The sequence below is a fragment of the Homo sapiens genome, chromosome 8, assembly GCF_000001405.40.
Source record: "Homo sapiens chromosome 8, GRCh38.p14 Primary Assembly".
Lineage (NCBI taxonomy): Eukaryota > Metazoa > Chordata > Mammalia > Primates > Hominidae > Homo > Homo sapiens.
In genome coordinates this window covers 95,542,430-95,561,852 of record NC_000008.11, presented here as the reverse complement: position 1 = coordinate 95,561,852, position 19,423 = coordinate 95,542,430, and the positions used below count along the sequence as shown (strand labels likewise).

At 40.0% G+C, this 19,423-nt stretch overlaps 1 long non-coding RNA gene across 9 annotated transcripts in view, besides 1 other annotated feature; it reads right to left on the bottom strand.

Moving 5' to 3' along the window:
* Nucleotides 1–19,423, bottom strand: part of CFAP418-AS1 (CFAP418 antisense RNA 1) — a 541,308-nt gene that overhangs the window by 248,291 nt on the left and 273,594 nt on the right. The window lies entirely within an intron of this gene.
* Nucleotides 3,276–3,936: an enhancer, noted in NCBI's record as "H3K27ac-H3K4me1 hESC enhancer chr8:96570145-96570805 (GRCh37/hg19 assembly coordinates)". NCBI's record gives its function as "activates a minimal SCP1, AML or CMV promoter by ChIP-STARR-seq in naive H9 embryonic stem cells {active_cell/tissue: H9 hESC(naive)}" and the evidence as "EXISTENCE:reporter gene assay evidence [ECO:0000049][PMID:30033119]".

Here is a 19,423-nt window from a genome sequence, read left to right as displayed (position 1 = left end):
CACAGAATAGCAAAGCCAAATATAAAGTAATAACTGCAAGTCAACGCAACTTAACTGTTTAGTATCATGGCTGTTTTAATTAAGGTGAAAATACCTAAGGTAGTACCTTGTTTCTGAATTCTAGTTTAAGCAATATTTACATTGTTTTTCCATGTCGATGTTTCTATATGGAATCCATCTTAAAGCAATGCAATTAAGAGACTTCAAGAACTACAGTTCCCAGATATAAGAATAAATGGCTGATGCAGAATATTGTGAGTCTTAAAGAATGTGCTTTACTTTGGGGAAAGACAGGTGTGTGGAGATAGAGCAGGATGTGGTCAGTTTTTTCATAGGATAAGCTTAGACTCCTGATCCTTGCTTTGTGTCTGGGTCATGAGATGTTCTTCAAAAATCTGAGGATTGGAAGGTCAATTCTATGCCTACTGATTCCTTATTCTGGCTATGTATTGGCTTTCCATGCATCTGTAGGTGAGTATCCCCAGAAATTTGAACAGGCTTTTGACCACTGGATGAGCCAAGCACTGGTCAATACCCTGAAGTCATGAGTGTGCTCAGATTCTGATAAACTCCTATTCGCCCTATTGGTAGAGAAGGGATCTCCCACACTAAATAGTATGAGATGGCTGAACACACAACACTTGACGTTAAACAGATGAAATTGATAGCAGTTTTTAGTCACATATACCATAGCCTGAGGGAGGAAGACATTGTATGCCATGGAGGCAGGGCCACACAGGGGTTGCACATGGGAATAAACTAAGCAACCAGGGGCTCTGAGAGGCAGCCTTTATAATATCAAGACTTGGAGGTGTCCCCTGGTTCCCATGGATTGTTGGAGTAATTTTTCAGTCCAGCAGGGAAATGAAATCTGTTAGTTTGAGAACTGGGTTGGGTGAAGCTGGTCTGGCTAATGGGGGAAATAATCACAGGTGGGTGAAGAGGGAGAGCCTTTTCCACTTAGCAGAAGGCATATCTAGGAAGTGCAGAGGAATTCATAGTTAGGCTTTGGGGGACTTGTGAGGTTCAAAGATGTCAAGGCAGCACTTGAAATGTTAGGTCTTACAATACAGCTTGCATGAGAAAACAATTTAACAAACCAAGACCCCACACCAGCCCTATCAGGACAGAAAACAAACCCTAACCACTAGCCACTGTAAATTTTCTCTGTAAATAATAATAATAATTACAACAACAATAATTCCAGAATCTTATCTTAAAGTTGTGGGAGGAAGGAAATTCCTTAACACATTTCTGCCTGGCTGCTTTATTCTTTCTTCTGACAACTACTGACTATGATTCTCATCATAATATTTATTCACACATTTGCCCTCCTTACTTTCCTTGCCTGAATAATCTCATTTTTTTTACCCGGGGTAAGACCAGACTACTCCAGGAGGTGACCTGGTGCATGTTCAAACTGCTCCCTGCTCACTTCCCTCTTGGCCTGGAGACTGTCGTTTCTATGATGGGCTGTTTCTGTTTTTTTCCAGAAAAGTACTATTGAAGTTTTATTTACATGAAGTGATTCATTTCCACCTTTTTGTCCCCCTCCCCGGTAGCTTAGAAAATGCCAAAAAACTCAAAGTACCTCATGCTGATGCTGAATCATCTTTAGATGTTCTTGGAGTACGACCCTGAGTTCACGAATGTGCCTATCACAGGAGAAGCTGCCCCTTGGCCTCACCAGACACCAAGTCAAGTCACCTTCTATACACAAGCTCAGCACCACCATGGAAATACAAAGAGTGCGTGTGAAAGAGAGGAAGGGAAAGAGAGAGAAAGTGACAGAGAAAAATAAAGATAGCAAGAAAAAAAATTGCAAGATTCAAGTAGATTCCAGGAACCAGTGCCATCAATAACATGTGTCACTCTTGATGACATTAGGAGCCAAATTCTGGACTTCACAGCCAGCCACCGGGGGAAGTTTTTGCTGGTACAGTCACTACATAAACTCCCATTTGGTCTTTTTGGTACCCCCTGCTCAGCAGGCATCCTGTAAATTTTCTTGACTCTATTTCACAAGATTTCTGAACCTGCACGTCCTCCCTGTGCGGTAAGTGCCAGCAAGACTGAGGTCACAGCAACACTCACTCCTGGAGTTTTGAGGAAGGTGATGGGAAGCAGCTGTTCTGTGCTCGGTTACTGAAAATCACCTGCTGCCTTGGAAAGGCTAAAAACCAACCACTCCAGAATAATTCCCCCTTCCTGCTTTTATGCCATCCTCATTCATTCATTCATTCATTCATTCATTCATTCATTCATCTATTCAAAAACGATTCACAGAGCATCAACTATGGGGCCAGGCATTCCCACCACCACTGCTTTGGTCCAGTAGGATCTGCTCAGAGAAAGAGGAAGAAAGGAATGATGGAAACACAGGCGCACAAAAGCCATCCCTAACTTCTTCTCAGCCAGTTCATTCTGGATAAAATGGAACATAAATTTCAAAACAGCTGAAGGCGTTAAATAGAAATAATTTTTGAATTGGATGGTTTTCTATAGGGTGCTATTTAAGTCAACACTATATCAAATTGGTTTGGAGTTGAAAAATTAACCTGAAAATAGAGAAATCAATCTTGTCACCTCATTTTGACCAGGTAATAGTACCTATTAATAAAATCTGTAGAAGGCCATTGGTTTCAACTAAACTCCCACAGCAGGGCTCAACAGACTAAACCAAAATGGAGTCACTTGTGCTAAGGTTCCACACCACTAAATCAAAACTGAGTTGTTTATCTTAACTTCCAAGAAATCAGGAGAGAGAAGCCAAATCCCCAAATGGGTAGGTTTTAGCTGTCATGATAAGGAAGTCCACCACCCCTTTACAAGGAAAGTAATTTTGTAATGACCAATCTGCTTTTTGTTCTCCATTTCAGCTTTCTTTAGCCCTGTTCTATCTATAAAGCCAACCTCCTCCACTCAGCAAAATGGAACACTCATTCTCCTTTATAGAATGAGGTGTCACCTGATTCTAGAATCATCTATAAGAGCCAATTAAGATCTGTAAATTAAGTTTGTCATAATTTTGTCTTTTAACGTACCTAACCCTGTGAATATTATTTTTAAACAACCATAAATATTGCTTTGGTTTTCTAAGAACTCTGTTATCTAAGATTGATGTTGTTCTCAAAGTACATGAATCAAATTTTAGTTTCTAGTAAATGTATTTTTTAAAGTTCCATTTATATAGGAGAACTATTACATCCCCAATGAGTCTGAGAGGCATTTTTTCTAAAATGCTAAGAAATAAATAAGTCCTAATTGCAATCCCATATTAAGAAAAAAAAGTGGTGTCCTCATTAGTTGGAAAGAAAATTAAAGGTTATTTTCTTCTGAGCAGTATGTTCACAAATGTTTAATCACATATTTGGTATAATCATTTTGATCAGGTAATAGTGAAAATTCTCCATCATTTTCAAATGTTAACCTCAGAAATAAAAATTAAAATTAGGGAACTCCTGAATCCACTAAGAAAAAAAGTGGAGAGTAAGAAAACCTGGAGTATATGTAAAGAGTTGAAAAACTGAGACTTATTTTTAATAATTTTTGTAAACCGAATAAGAAAAGCCTTCTTGAAAAAAACAGGGGGAGGAGCCAAGATGGCCGAATAGGAACAGCTCCGGTCTACAGCTCCCAGCGTGAGCGACGCAGAAGACGGGTGATTTCTGCATTTCCATCTGAGGTACCGGGTTCATCTCACTAGGGAGTGCCAGACAGTGGGCGCAGGCCAGTGTGTGCGCGCACCGTGCGCGAGCCGAAGCAGGGCGAGGCATTGCCTCACCTGGGAAGCGCAAGGGGTCAGGGAGTTCCCTTTCCGAGTCAAAGAAAGGGGTGACGAACGCACCTGGAAAATCGGGTCACTCCCACCTGAATATTGCGCTTTTCAGACCGGCTTAAAAAACGGCGCACCACGAGACTATATCCCACACCTGGCTGAGAGGGTCCTACGCCCACGGAATCTCGCTGATTGCTAGCACAGCAGTCTGAGATTAAACTGCAAGGGGGCAACGAGGCTGGGGGAGGGGCGCCCGCCATTGCTCAGGCTTGCTTAGGTAAACAAAGCAGCCGGGAAGCTCGAACTGGGTGGAGCCCACCACAGCTCAAGGAGGCCTGCCTGCCTCTGTAGGCTCCACCTCTGGGGGCAGGGCACAGACAAACAAAAAGACAGCAGTAACCTCTGCAGACTTAAGTGTCCCTGTCTGACAGCTTTGAAGAGAGCAGTGGTTCTCCCAGCACGCAGCTGGAGATCTGAGAACGGGCAGACTGCCTCCTCAAGTGGGTCCCTGACCCCTGACCCCCGAGCAGCCTAACTGGGAGGCACCCCCCAGCAGGGGCACACTGACACCTCACACGGCAGGGTATTCCAACAGACCTGCAGCTGAGGGTCCTGTCTGTTAGAAGGAAAACTAACAACCAGAAAGGACATCTACACCGAAAACCCATCTGTACATCACCATCATCAAAGACCAAAAGTAGATAAAACCACAAAGATGGGGAAAAAACAGAACAGAAAAACTGGAAACTCTAAAACGCAGAGCGCCTCTCCTCCTCCAAAGGAACGCAGTTCCTCACCAGCAACGGAAAAAAGCTGGATGGAGAATGATTTTGACGAGATGAGAGAAGAAGGCTTCAGACGATCAAATTACTCTGAGCTATGGGAGGACATTCAAACCAAAGGCAAAGAAGTTGAAAACTTTGAAAAAAATTTAGAAGAATGTATAACTAGAATAACCAATACAGAGAAGTGCTTAAAGGAGCTGATGGAGCTGAAAACCAAGGCTCGAGAACTACGTGAAGAATGCAGAAGCCTCAGGAGCCGATGCGATCAACTGGAAGAAAGGGTATCAGCGATGGAAGATGAAATGAATGAAATGAAGCGAGAAGGGAAGTTTAGAGAAAAAAGAATAAAAAGAAATGAGCAAAGCCTCCAAGAAATATGGGACTATGTGAAAAGACCAAATCTACGTCTGATTGGTGTACCTGAAAGTGATGTGGAGAATGGAACCAAGTTGGAAAACACTCTGCAGGATATTATCCAGGAGAACTTCCCCAATCTAGCAAGGCAGGCCAACGTTCAGATTCAGGAAATACAGAGAACGCCACAAAGATACTCCTCGAGAAGAGCAACTCCAAGACACATAATTGTCAGATTCACCAAAGTTGAAATGAAGGAAAAAATGTTAAGGGCAGCCAGAGAGAAAGGTCGGGTTACCCTCAAAGGGAAGCCCATCAGACTAACAGTGGATCTCTCGGCAGAAACCCTACAAGCCAGAAGAGAGTGGGGGCCAATACTCAACATTCTTAAAGAAAAGAATTTTCAACCCAGAATTTCATATCCAGACAAACTAAGCTTCATAAGTGAAGGAGAAATAAAATACTTTATAGACAAGCAAATGCTGAGAGATTTTTGTCACCACCAGGCCTGCCCTAAAAGAGCTCCTGAAGGAAGCGCTAAACATGGAAAGGAACAACCGGTACCAGCCGCTGCAAAATCATGCCAAAATGTAAAGACCATCGAGACTAGGAAGAAACTGCATCAACTAACGAGCAAAATCACCAGCTAACATCATAATGACAGGATCAAATTCACACATAACAATATTAACTTTAAATGTAAATGGACTAAATTCTGCAATGAAAAGACACAGACTGGCAAGTTGGATAAAGAGTCAAGACCCATCAGTGTGCTGTATTCAGGAAACCCATCTCACGTGCAGAGACACACATAGGCTCAAAATAAAAGGATGGAGGAAGATCTACCAAGCCAATGGAAAACAAAAAAAGGAAGGGGTTGCAATCCTAGTCTCTGATAAAACAGACTTTAAACCAACAAAGATCAAAAGAGACAAAGAAGGCCATTACATAATGGTAAAGGGATCAATTCAACAAGAGGAGCTAACTATCCTAAATATTTATGCACCGAATACAGGAGCACCCAGATTCATAAAGCAAGTCCTGAGTGACCTACAAAGAGACTTAGACTCCCACACATTAATAATGGGAGACATTAACACCCCACTGTCAACATTAGACAGATCAACGAGACAGAAAGTCAACAAGGATACCCAGGAATTGAACTCAGCTCTGCACCAAGCGGACCTAATAGACATCTACAGAACTCTCCACCCCAAATCAACAGAATATACATTTTTTTCAGCACCACACCACACCTATTCCAAAACTGACCACATAGTTGGAAGTAAAGCTCTCCTCAGCAAATGTAAAAGAACAGAAATTATAACAAACTATCTCTCAGACCACAGTGCAATCAAACTAGAACTCAGGATTAAGAATCTCACTCAAAACGGCTCAACTACATGGAAACTGAACAACCTGCTCCTGAATGACTACTGAGTACATAACGAAATGAAGGCAGAAATAAAGATGTTCTTTGAAACCAACGAGAACAAAGACACCACATACCAGAATCTCTGGGACACATTCAAAGCAGTGTGTAGAGGGAAATTTATAGCACTAAATGCCTACAAGAGAAAGCAGGAAAGATCCAAAATTGACACCCTAACATCACAATTAAAAGAACTAGAAAAGCAAGAGCAAACACATTCAAAAGCTAGCAGAAGGCAAGAAATAACTAAAATCAGAGCAGAACTGAAGGAAATAGAGACACAAAAAACCCTTCAAAAAATCAATGAATCCAGGAGCTGGTTTTTTGAAAGGATCAACAAAATTGATAGACCGCTAGCAAGACTAATAAAGAAAAAAAGAGAGAAGAATCAAATAGACACAATAAAAAATGATAAAGGGGATATCACCACCGATCCCACAGAAATACAAACTACCATCAGAGAATACTACAAACACCTCTACGCAAATAAACTAGAAAATCTAGAAGAAATGGATACATTCCTCGACACATACACTCTCCCAAGACTAAACCAGGAAGAAGTTGAATCTCTGAATAGACGAATAACAGGCTCTGAAATTCTGGCAATAATCAATAGTTTACCAACCAAAAAGAGTCCAGGACCAGATGGATTCACAGCCGAATTCTACCAGAGGTACAAGGAGGAGCTGGTACCATTCCTTCTGAAACTATTCCAATCAATAGAAAAAGAGGGAATCCTCCCTAACTCATTTTATGAGGCCAGCATCATTCTGATACCAAAGCCGGGCAGAGACACAACCAAAAAAGAGAATTTTAGACCAATATCCTTGATGAACATTGATGCAAAAATCCTCAATAAAATACTGGCAAACCGAATCCAGCAGCACATCAAAAAGCTTATCCACCATGATCAAGTGGGCTTCATCCCTGGGATGCAAGGCTGGTTCAATATATGCAAATCAATAAATGTAATCCAGCATATAAACAGAGCCAAAGACAAAAACCACATGATTATCTCAATAGATGCAGAAAAAGCCTTTGACAAAATTCAACAACCCTTCATGCTAAAAACTCTCAATAAATTAGGTATTGATGGGACGTATTTCAAAATAATAAGAGCTATCTATGACAAACCCACAGCCAATATCATACTGAATGGGCAAAAACTGGAAGCATTCCCTTTGAAAACTGGCACAAGACAGGGATGCCCTCTCTCACCACTCCTATTCAACATAGTGTTGGAAGTTCTGGCCAGGGCAATCAGGCAGGAGAAGGAAATAAAGGGTATTCAATTAGGAAAAGAGGAAGTCAAATTGTCCCTGTTTGCAGATGACATGATTGTTTATCTAGAAAACCCCATTGTCTCAGCCCAAAATCTCCTTAAGCTGATAAGCAACTTCAGCAAAGTCTCAGGATGCAAAATCAATGTACAAAAATCACAAGCATTCTTACACACCAACAACAGACAAACAGAGAGCCAAATCATGAGTGAACTCCCATTCACAATTGCTTCAAAGAGAATAAAATACCTAGGAATCCAACTTACAAGGGATGTGAAGGACCTCTTCAAGGAGAACTACAAACCACTGCTCAAGGAAATAAAAGAGGACACAAACAAATGGAAGAACATTCCATGCTCATGGGTAGGAAGAATCAATATCGCGAAAATGGCCATACTGCCCAAGGTAATTTACAGATTCAATGCCATCCCCATCAAGCTACCAATGACTTTCTTCACAGAATTGGAAAAAACTACTTTAAAGTTCATATGGAACCAAAAAAGAGCCCGCATTGCCAAGACAATCCTAAGCAAAAAGAACAAAGCTGGAGGCATCACACTACCTGACTTCAAACTATACTACAAGGCTACAGTAACCAAAACAGCATGGTACTGGTACCAAAACAGAGATATAGATCAATGGAACAGAACAGAGCCCTCAGAAATAACGCCGCATATCTACAACTATCTGATCTTTGACAAACCTGATAAAAACAAGCAATGGGGAAAGGATTCCCTATTTAATAAATGGTGCTGGGAAAACTGGCTAGCCATATGTAGAAAGCTGAAACTGGATCCCTTCCTTACACCTTATACAAAAATCAATTCAAGATGGATTAAAGATTTAAACGTTAGACCTAAAACCATAAAAACCCTAGAAGAAAACCTAGGCATTACCATTCAGGACATAGGCGTGGGCAAGGACTTCATGTCCAAAACACCAAAAGCAATGGCAACAAAAGCCAAAATTGACAAATGGGATCTAATTAAACTAAAGAGCTTCTGCACAGCAAAAGAAACTACCATCAGAGTGAACAGGCAACCTACAACATGGGAGAAAATTTTCGCAACCTACTCATCTGACAAAGGGCTAATATCCAGAATCTACAATGAACTCAAACAAATTTACAAGAAAAAAACAAACAACCCCATCAAAAAGTGGGCGAAGGACATGAACAGACACTTCTCAAAAGAAGACATTTATGCAGCCAAAAAACACATGAAAAAATGCTCATCATCACTGGCCATCAGAGAAATGCAAATCAAAACCACTATGAGATATCATCTCACACCTGTTAGAATGGCAATCATTAAAAAGTCAGGAAACAACAGGTGCTGGAGAGGATGTGGAGAAATAGGAACACTTTTACACTGTTGGTGGGACTGTAAACTAGTTCAACCATTGTGAAAGTCAGTGTGGCGATTCCTCAGGGATCTAGAACTAGAAATACCATTTGACTCAGCCATCCCATTACTGGGTATATACCCAAATGACTATAAATCATGCTGCTATAAAGACACATGCACACGTATGTTTATTGCGGCATTATTCACAATAGCAAAGACTTGGAACCAACCCAAATGTCCAACAATGCTAGACTGGATTAAGAAAATGTGGCACATATACACCATGGAATACTATGCAGCCATAAAAAATGATGAGTTCATGTCCTTTGTAGGGACATGGATGAAATTGGAAACCATCATTCTCAGTAAACTATCGCAAGAACAAAAAACCAAACACCGCATATTCTCACTCATAGGTGGGAATTGAACAATGAGATCACATGGACACAGGAAGGGGAATATCACACTCTGGGGACTGTGGTGGGGTCGGGGGATGGGGGAGGGATAGCATTGGGAGATATACCTAATGCTAGATGACACGTTAGTGGGTGCAGCGCACCAGCATGGCACATGTATACATATGTAACTAACCTGCACAATGTGCACATGTACCCTAAAACTTAAAGTATAATAATAATAAAAAAAAGAAAAAAAACAACAACCAGAAAGTTTATTGTTGATGTGTTCACATGTTAAATACACTAAATATTCCAGATGGCCCTGGCCTTGAGATCATTGAGAAAAGGCAATGGGTCTTACCATCTCAATTTTCAGTGAGGTGAGGTCATGAAGTTATAAGAATTTAATTTAAACATAAAATACACAAACCTATAAGATTCTATGTGTGTGGTTTTTTTTAATAAACAGAGAATGGGCTACTATGTTAAGTATAAGCCTAAACCATTGTTCAATCTGAGAAAACTAGTAGAGAGACCGTGTTCATTCTTGGTACAGCCACAGTGGAAAAAACTGCAGATAAAGTAGAAATCACCCCCATCATTTGAAGACAGTCTTTGCCTCTATTTTATAACTTAAAATGGTAATAAAACTGGTAGTTGATTTCCCTAGCCTCTAAATAAGATCCCAGGCTGGCCAACACCTTGACAGCCCTGTGAGAGACCCTGAGCAGAGAACCCAGTCAAGCTGCCTGGATTTCTGACCTGCAGAAATGTGAGAGAATAAATGAATCTTGTCGGAAACTGATAAATTAGTAGTAATTTGGTAGTTTTCTGTTGCTGCATATGAAATTAAAGAAAGTGATCAAACATTGATTCTCTGCTTCTAAATGAAATTCCAAAGGATCAGCCGGAGTCATCACTCATATCTGCCCCATCTAATTCTCAACAATCCTAGTCCCAACTGTACTTCCTTTGGCCCATTCCCTACTTGCCACGTGCATGCTATGGGATGCTTTTTCTGATTATTACTTGTATGCCAAATACCATATTGTTGTATATCTGCCTGACGCTGCATCCTTGGACCTGCCTCATAAGAAGCATTTTACGGCACAATGCTGGACTCCATACCCTCAGAGCTGCTAACACCTCCCTCTCGATTTGCCCCATTACAGAAGGCAGGACTCATGTAAATTCCAACCATATATTTGGCTTGTTTTGTCACAGAGGGCTGACCCCCTAGAGAAAAAAAGATTGAGTATGGAAAACATTTCAGAAGAAAATTAGTCCAATTTGAAACTGACTACATATGGAGGCTAAAGAAAAAGGGCCAAGTGTCGAGACTGGGGGGCATGGGGAATGGTGAGGCCACTGTCAGACATGGCAGGACCCCTGGGGAGCTGGCTGTCAAAGGCAAGAAGATGAGATCAGTTTTATCATACTGAGTATAAAGTGTTAGAGGGGCCTCCAAGCCTAGCATATCCTCCTTAAAACCATAAGCTTGTTGAGGCCAGGAGTGCTACCCATTTTATACACCTTCTATAATGTCAGCAGCATTTTAAGTCCTCATTAAATAGTCTTCATTGAATTAGTGGAGATATAAGTTATTCATTTAGCAATTTTAAGTATTCAATTAGGGTTTGGAGGGAAGGGTGTTGGAGTTTATATCTCTAATAAATAGTAAAAGTACTAGTCTTAAGCCACAAATTAATGTTAATTTAGGAAGAAACTTTACAGGAAGCTCAGAAGAGATGAAAACCAAACACACATTGAGTATTAGATGGTATTACAGACTGACTGTTAATTTGGGAGGAAGTGATAATGGGATTGTGGTTGAAGATTTCTTAAAAGTCCTCTTCTGTTTGCAATATAGACTAAAATGATTGTGAGTGGAAACAAACAATGTCTGGGTTTTTATTTAAAATATCCCCTCCAAAAAAGTGTGAGGCAATGGGGGTTGACAATAATGGTGGAAAAATATATAGTTATGAAAGATGGTTGATAGATGCATGGAGATTCATTGGAAAATTCTATGTTTGTGTTTCTTTGAAAGTTGTCGTAATGAATGTTTGCAATACAGAAGGAAAGAAGGAAAGCCCTGAAAACAATAGCTGCACCTAGTTGTCAATTATTTTTTACCAGCATCCAGTTTGTTGGGTTGTGGAGATTTGCATCTATTTCTGTCTTTAGAGAGTTTTCATTCTTCTATTCATCAAATGTTTACTACATAGTGACACTATAGTGCACCATACTAGAATTGGGTTGACATTAGAGGTAAACATGTTATGTGGGAAACCAATATAAGGTGTAATTTTTACCAGAAAATGTAATTATTTTGCAATTCAACATGAAATCATCCTCATTGAATGGCTGTAAAGTACATGGGCAAAATACTTCCTTCTTTTGTTCTAACGTCCTGAAAACAAGGACTCACCATTATTACCCTATTGTGTCAATACTTGAAGTAGGGAATCTGATCATTCTGACTCCATCAGGAGAAGCCAGATTTAGGAAGAGTGACCCCTGCTCCAGAGAGGAGCTAGAGGGGGGCCATGACCACCCAGTCAGAAGAGGCACCAGTCAGCCACAAGTGGCCCCTGACCTAGTGCTGTAATAACAACCCCAACAGAGAAGTTAATCTCCTTAATGGAAAACAGATACTTTTTTTTACTTACACCTATTACTGTTCTGGTCTTAAGCGTTTCCTGCCTCTACTCTGCTCAGTTAAGTGGAGATAAAGAAATGGAGATCCATGATGTCCCCAAGCACAGTCAAGGTGAAGCACAACAGACAAGATTACTTGTAAAATGCCTTTCTTCTCTTCTCACCTCTTCCCATGGATACCCAGGGAGTGGAAAAGGAAGAAAGGAGCTTGGCAGGTAATTGAATAAAATGTGGTGGGTAGGCAACAAGCACTTTGCTCTTTGTTTCTGGGTAATTCTCTTTCTCTGGTGGCACAGGACTGTGAGCTAAGAAGGATGAATTCTGCTGGGTTTATTAAAGGTCAGAATTGTGTTTGGAGGAGCCATGAGGCTTTTCTGACGTGCACAGACTCCCCAAGCCTGGAACCCTATCCACTACATTGTGATTTATTCTTTTTCGTCGTAATAGGAGGAAATGGCACCATGTTAAGGACAAGGTTTCAGAACAAATGATCTAGAATAGTCTAATTTAGTTATCATCTGGCCCTAATATCTTGAAAATAAATCACAATGTAGTTGATAGGGCTCAAAGTTTGAGAACAAGTCCCCAAGATCAAATCTTCACTTTGCTAATTACTGGTGTGAAACAGTCACTTAACTTACTTGGCCTTGAGATTCCTGGCTTGAAAAGGGGCTAATGATGCAGTCCAGGGCGGTTGCTGAATGGTTACATGGGGCATTCATGTGCATGGGTAAGGTGTTCTCCATTCCACTGAATGACCCAGATACAAATTTCTCAAACCAAAGCTCAGGTGTATGAAAACATAAGCTTCTATTTTTTCTGTGGTTGAATTTAGATTATATCTTAAGCTTCCAGTAGCAGAAATTAGTTATTCCAGATAATCAGGTTGCTTCCAGATATTCAATTCAAGAGTGTTGAACACTCATTTTGGTTGTATGAGCATGAGCCTTCTTCCTTTGGGTGAGGCAGAGGGTATGGGATGCCACAATGAAGAGGAGCAAAACCCACCCCATCAGAATCAAAGCCAAAAATAACTGCAGAGTGGGCACATGACAAATGTTGGCCAACAGGATAGTCCTATCCAGGACATGAAGTCTGCAGTGCATGGGAAATGAGAGACCCTGGAGGATTTATTCTGGCAGCAGCATCAGTGGCTCCATAACCTATTCTAGGAGTGGCAGAGGTTGACTGCAGTGATGTCCTGTGTCCATTTCTGAAGTAGTCATGCCAGTAGTTGTGTCATCAGCATCTAACCAGAAGCTTCCTGTGCTGTGGTTTTGGCTGAAGGCAGTTCTGCCCTTTTCGAGCCCATTGATTCTGAGGACTCTCTGGTGTCCTTCCCGTAAATTCCTTTTCTGTTCATGTTAACTAGAGTTGGTTTCTTTGCTTGGAACCAAGTCCTGACAAGTTCAGCAAGTGTTTCTCCCTAAATCTCCCTAAGAGGGTGGTGGGGAGAGGCTTTCAAGATCCACGGAGCTTCACAGAGCAGGATCTCACCCAGAGGCATCTTCTCCCTGGGTCGTGATTTGTTCCACGCAGATATCTGCTGAGCTGTACGTTGTTCTATTCAATCCTTAGTGATCATCCTATCTCCAGGCTGGCCAAACCTGATATGTTGTTCTTCCCATTTGGACTTATGGGTCCATGGACTTGTGGATCACACCACATCTACAATGGCATTTCCATCCTCCAAGTCTTTCAGTCTCAGGTGCTGGACGATGTCAATCACATGTAAGGAGTTTTCATCCCTTGCACCAACTAAGGCACATGGAGGATTGATGGATTTGCCTTAGGTCTGCCTGCCTTGGCACCTATACAGGTGCTACTATTTGTCTAACTCATAGTGGCTCAAGAAACTCTGGGGCTTACTGCCTCCCAAGGTCCCCAACAAGAAGTGAAACATAGGACTTCTCTATATTTGGATTATCAAATATATCTGGGACTTTCTATGGCAATTCCCAGGGATTCTGTCCAGGATAGGGCAGGCTGCAGGGCATATTCTTGAGGACTTTCACCAGAATCTAACTATCCTGGTGTTCTCTAACTCTCCCCCAACCCCAGTTTGTAGGGTCTTATACTTCTTTGAGAGAAGGGGGGAAAGTGGTCTAGATATGTCATGTATTCTTCCACATTTATTCCATACTTTTTTTTATTATACTTTAAGTTCTGGGGTACATGTGCAAAACATGCAGGTTTGTTACATAGGTGTACATGTGCCATGGTGGTTTGCTGCACCTATCAACCCTTCATCTACATTAGGTATTTCTCCTAATGCTATCCCTCCCCCAGCCCCTCACCCCCTAACAGGTCCCAGAGTGTGATGTTCCCCTTCCTGGTCCATGTGTTCTCATTGTTCACCTCCCACTTACGAGTGAGAACATGTGGTGTTTGGTTTTCTGTTCCTGTTTTAGTTTGCTGAGAATGATGGTTTTCAGCTTCATCCATGTCCCTACAAAGGACATGAATTCATCCTTTTTTATGGCTGCATAGTATTCCACGGTGTATATGTGCCTCATTTTCTTTATCCAGTCTATCATTCATGGGCATTTGGGTTGGTTCCAAGTCTTTGCTATTGTGAACAGTGCCACAATAAACATACGTGTGCATGTGTCTTTATAGAATGATTTATAATCCTTTGGGTATATACCCAGTAATGGGATTGCTGGGTCAAATGATATTTCTAGTTCTAGATCCTTGAGGAATCGCCACACTGTCTTCCACAATGGTTGAACTAATTTACACTCCCACCAACAGTGTAAAAGTGTTCTTATTTCTCCACATCCTCTCCAGCATCTGTTGTTTCCTGACTTTTTAATGATCACCATTCTAACTGGCATGAGATGGTATCTCATTGTGGTTTTGATTTACATTTCTCTAATGACAAGTGATAATGAGCATTTTTTCGTATGTTTGTTGGCTGCATAAATGTCTTCTTTTGAGAAATGTCTGTTCATATCCTTTGCCCACTTTCTGATAAGGTTGTTTTTTTCTTTTTTTTTATTATTATACTTAAAGTTTTAGGGTACATGTGCACAACATGCAGGTTTGTTACATATGTATACATGTGCCATGTTGGTGTGTCGCACCCATTAACTCGTCATTTAGCATTAGGTATATCTCCTAATGCTATCCCTCCCCCCTCCCCCCACCCCACAACAGTCCCCGGTGTGTGACGTTCCCCTTCCTGTGTCCATGTGTTCTTATTGTTCAATTCCCACCTATGAGTGAGAACATGCAGTGTTTGGTTTTTTGTCCTTGTGATAATTTGCTGAGAATGATGGTTTCCAGCGTCATCCATGTCCCTTCAAAGGACATGAACTCATCCTTTTTTATGGCTGCATAGTATTCCATGGTGTATATGTGCCTTCTTGTAAATTTATATTCAGACAGGAAGAGAGGAAGTCAAATTGTCTCTGTTTGCAGATGACATGATTGTACATTTAGAAAACCCCATCATCTCAGCCCAAAATCTCCATAAGCTGATAAGTAACTTCAGCAATGTCTCAGGATCCATGTACAAAATCAATGTGCAAAAATCACAAGCATTCTTATACACCAACAACAGACAAACAGAGAACCAAATCATGAGTGAACTCCCATTCACAATTGCTATGAAGAGAATAAAATACCTAGGAATACAACTTACAAGGGATGTGAAGGACCTCTTCAAGGAGAACTACAAACCACTGCTCAAGGAAATAAAAGAGGACACAAACAAATGGAAGAACATTCCACGCTCATGGGTAGGAAGAATCAATATCGCGAAAATGGCCATACTGCCCAAGGTAATTTACAGATTCAATGCCATCCCCATCAAGCTACCAATGACTTTCTTCACAGAGTTGGAAAAAACTACTTTAAAGTTCATATGGAACCAAAAAAGAGCCCGCATTGCCAAGACAATCCTAAGCAAAAAGAACAAAGCTGGAGGCATCACACTACCTGACTTCAAACTATACTACAAGGCAACAGCAACCAAGACATCATGGTACTGGTACCAAAACAGATATACAGACCAACGGAACAGAACAGAGGCCTCAGAAATAACACCACACATCTACAACCATCTGATCTTTGACAAACTTGACAAAAACAAGCAATGGGGAAAGGATTCCCTATTTAATAAATGGTGCTGGGAAAACTGGCTAGCCATATGCAGAAAGCTGAAACTGGATCCCTTCCTTACACCTTATACCAAAATTAATTCAAGATGGATTAAAGACTTAAATGTTAGACCTAAAACCATAAAAACCCTAGAAGAAAACCTAGGCAATACCATTGAGGACATGGGCATGGGCAAAGACTTCATGACTAAAACACCAAAAGCAATGGCAACAAAAGCCAAAATAGACAAATGGGATCTAATTAAACTAAAGAGTTTCTGCACAGCAAAAGAAACTATCATTAGAGTGAACAGGCAACCTACACAATGGGAGAAAATTTTCACAATCTATCCATCTGACAAAGGGCTAATATCCAGAATCCACACTTATTTTTTAAACCAGGATTTTTAAATTTATAAATGTATATATAATTTTTAAGTAGTTCTGTGCATATATATATATATGCTTATATACATATGTATAATATGCACAGAACTACTTCCAAAATTAAGTCGTCATTTAAAACATCTAATTATATTAAAAGGCATGTAATAAAAAAACAGTAGTTTTCCCTTACTTTTACCATTCTCCAAGCAACTAATTTTAAATATTTTCGCTATTTATTCTATAATAAGATTATGGAGTTTCACTCTTGTTGCCCAAGCTGGAGTGCAATGATGCGATCTCGGCTCACTACAACCTCCACCTCCTGGGTTCAAGCGATTCTTCTGCCTCAGCCTCCCGAGTAGCTGGGATTACAGGCATGTGCCATCATGCCCAGCTAATTTTTTGTATTTTTAATAGAAATGGGGTTTCACCATGTTAGCCAGGCTGGTCTCAAACTCCTGACCTCAGGTGATCCGTCTGCCTCAGCCTCCAAAAGTGCTGGGATTACAGGCATGAGCCACCGTGCCTGGCCAATAAGGTTATATTTCTATTTATTAATTTTTCTGTTATCTTGCCCTCATTAAAGATGTGTATTTAGAGCTCTTAACATTTCCCTCCTCTCCTACTTGCCCTTCCACTAAAATCCTCATTAAAACACATTAAATACCTAAAGATATAGCACTGAAAGATAGGACAATTATTTGGTTGTCAAGTAAGCCATTGCCAGAATATGGAAGAAACTGTTCTATATTTATGTAGCTGAAATGAGAATTATAGTTAATAAAAACTGAATGCAAATATCAAAATAATTATTAAAAGAGAATATAAATAAAACACATATACTGTATTTATAAAATTATACAAATTTAAGAGGGAGGAAGGGAATATGTGGGAGAAGGATAGGAGAGAAAACATGTCACATTTTACATAGAAAAGAATCAAAACACATACATTATTGACTTTGTTTAACAGAAAAAATAACACTCAGAAGAAATACTTTTGAATATCTTAAGGCTAACTATCAGCTGAATTGAAATAGGATTAAAATTTTCTAAATGATTGGAGAAGAGAAAAACATTTTTAAAGCCCTATTCCATATGCAAAAGAAGAAATTGCAGAAAATAAGAAAGGGTAGTTGACATGAGTACAGAAAGACAATATCAAAAGATTGTAGAAAAACAAACACAACAGTTTTAACAATAAGTATAACTGGTTTAAAATTTCTTATTGAAATTCAAAGACTCAGATTTGGTTAAGAAAACAATTCAATCCTATGCTATTTCTAAGTTTATTTAAAGTCAACAGGCCTATTTTAAAATTCAGGCTGTGCCATATTGTAGCTGTGTGATTTAGGCATGTCTCTGAACATCTTTGTAACTCAGTCTTTTCATCTGTATATAAAAATAAAATGCCTACTTCAGGTGGTTATTGAAGGATTAAATGAGATGACATAAATCTCAGAACCTCCTCCTGCACAAGTGTCAATGTATTTTCACAGTCAAAGTAGCACAGTCCAAGATTCAAAAGCAATTTAATTTTTCTTTGTACCTTTTGGAAAACATAAAGGAAACTTCATTTATAACTTAAAAACATGACTTTTCAAATTTCTGCTTTCCATAATCCATAGCTTCTCTACAGTCCCCTTCCAAGTCCCTCACTAGGTGACACTTTTGCCAAGCTCTCCTCAATATTGTCTGTACTAGCTTTTGTTTTCTTGTTTCCTCCCCACTTTCTTCCTGAATTGTCCAGTATCCACTCTCTCTACCTTCTTTCCTCATTCTGGGTTTATAAATTATAAGAACCTGGCCACAAATTCAAGTCTCTTCTTACAAGGGAGATGAAGAAAGAAGTTGCATTGACTAAGAGGCAGAGAACAAGAAGGAAGGAAGGGAAGTTGGAATTATGCTTTAATAATTTTTTTCTCCATAGCATATATAAAGTGCCTTACACATAATAAATACTTAATCAATACCATTTCCCTTCTCAGTGTTTCACAAATGTTTCACAAATGCTTAGTCTTTGTTTTTGACATATCTTCCATAAATAAAAATACTTAATCCTTGAACACTAAATTTCTCGACACTCTCTTCCCCAACTCTACCAAATTAACAATCTGAAAATAGGCACTGATTCACAGGAAAGAAACTGCTTTTTTAAAGCAAATCCGTGATTGTGATTCAGATACATTTAAAATGCATATTATAATATGAATAATCACCTCCTAAAGTCTCTATTCTATGCCTGATTTTTTTCACAGCATTTTCTTAAAGGCACACCTGCACCCCTACCATCCCCAGGGGGTTCAGAGTGAAACTAGAGCCCACAAAAGACCCCCTTGGTTGTTTCAACCTTTCTAAAAGTATGATTTTTTTCTCCTGACATTTTAGAAGTGTTATTAAAACTCACTGGATTCTTGGGATTTGGAGAGGGAAGAAAAGAAACAACTGAAACCTTGATTTTCCTCCCCTGGATATCATGTTTGTTTTGACATGTGGGTGTGGTGTGCTTTTCTGGCAATGACTGCACAAATTCAACCCTGAGTGTCTACAGGACACAGCCCAGCCATGTCTGCATTGCTTAGACAAGGAGTATTGCTTTTCTTTTTGCAGGTCATTCACACACAGCTGTTAGACTCAGGTGTCATAGCACCAAGTTGCTTTGCTCTTTCATTAAGATCTTAGGCTACACGCTTATGTGTCTGATAACAAAAAGCAGGGAGAGAGACTAGTTAAAAGTTTAATGTGGTGGATATGGATCTGAGCTGTCTTGGGTCTGCAGGAGGGTACAGGTTGCAAGTTTGCGGGCTTCTGGATGTGTTTCTAATTGAGTGTCAGGATGCCATCATTTCTGCCACCTCTTTTCTTTTTTACTTTTAAGTTCAAGGGTACATGTGAAGTAT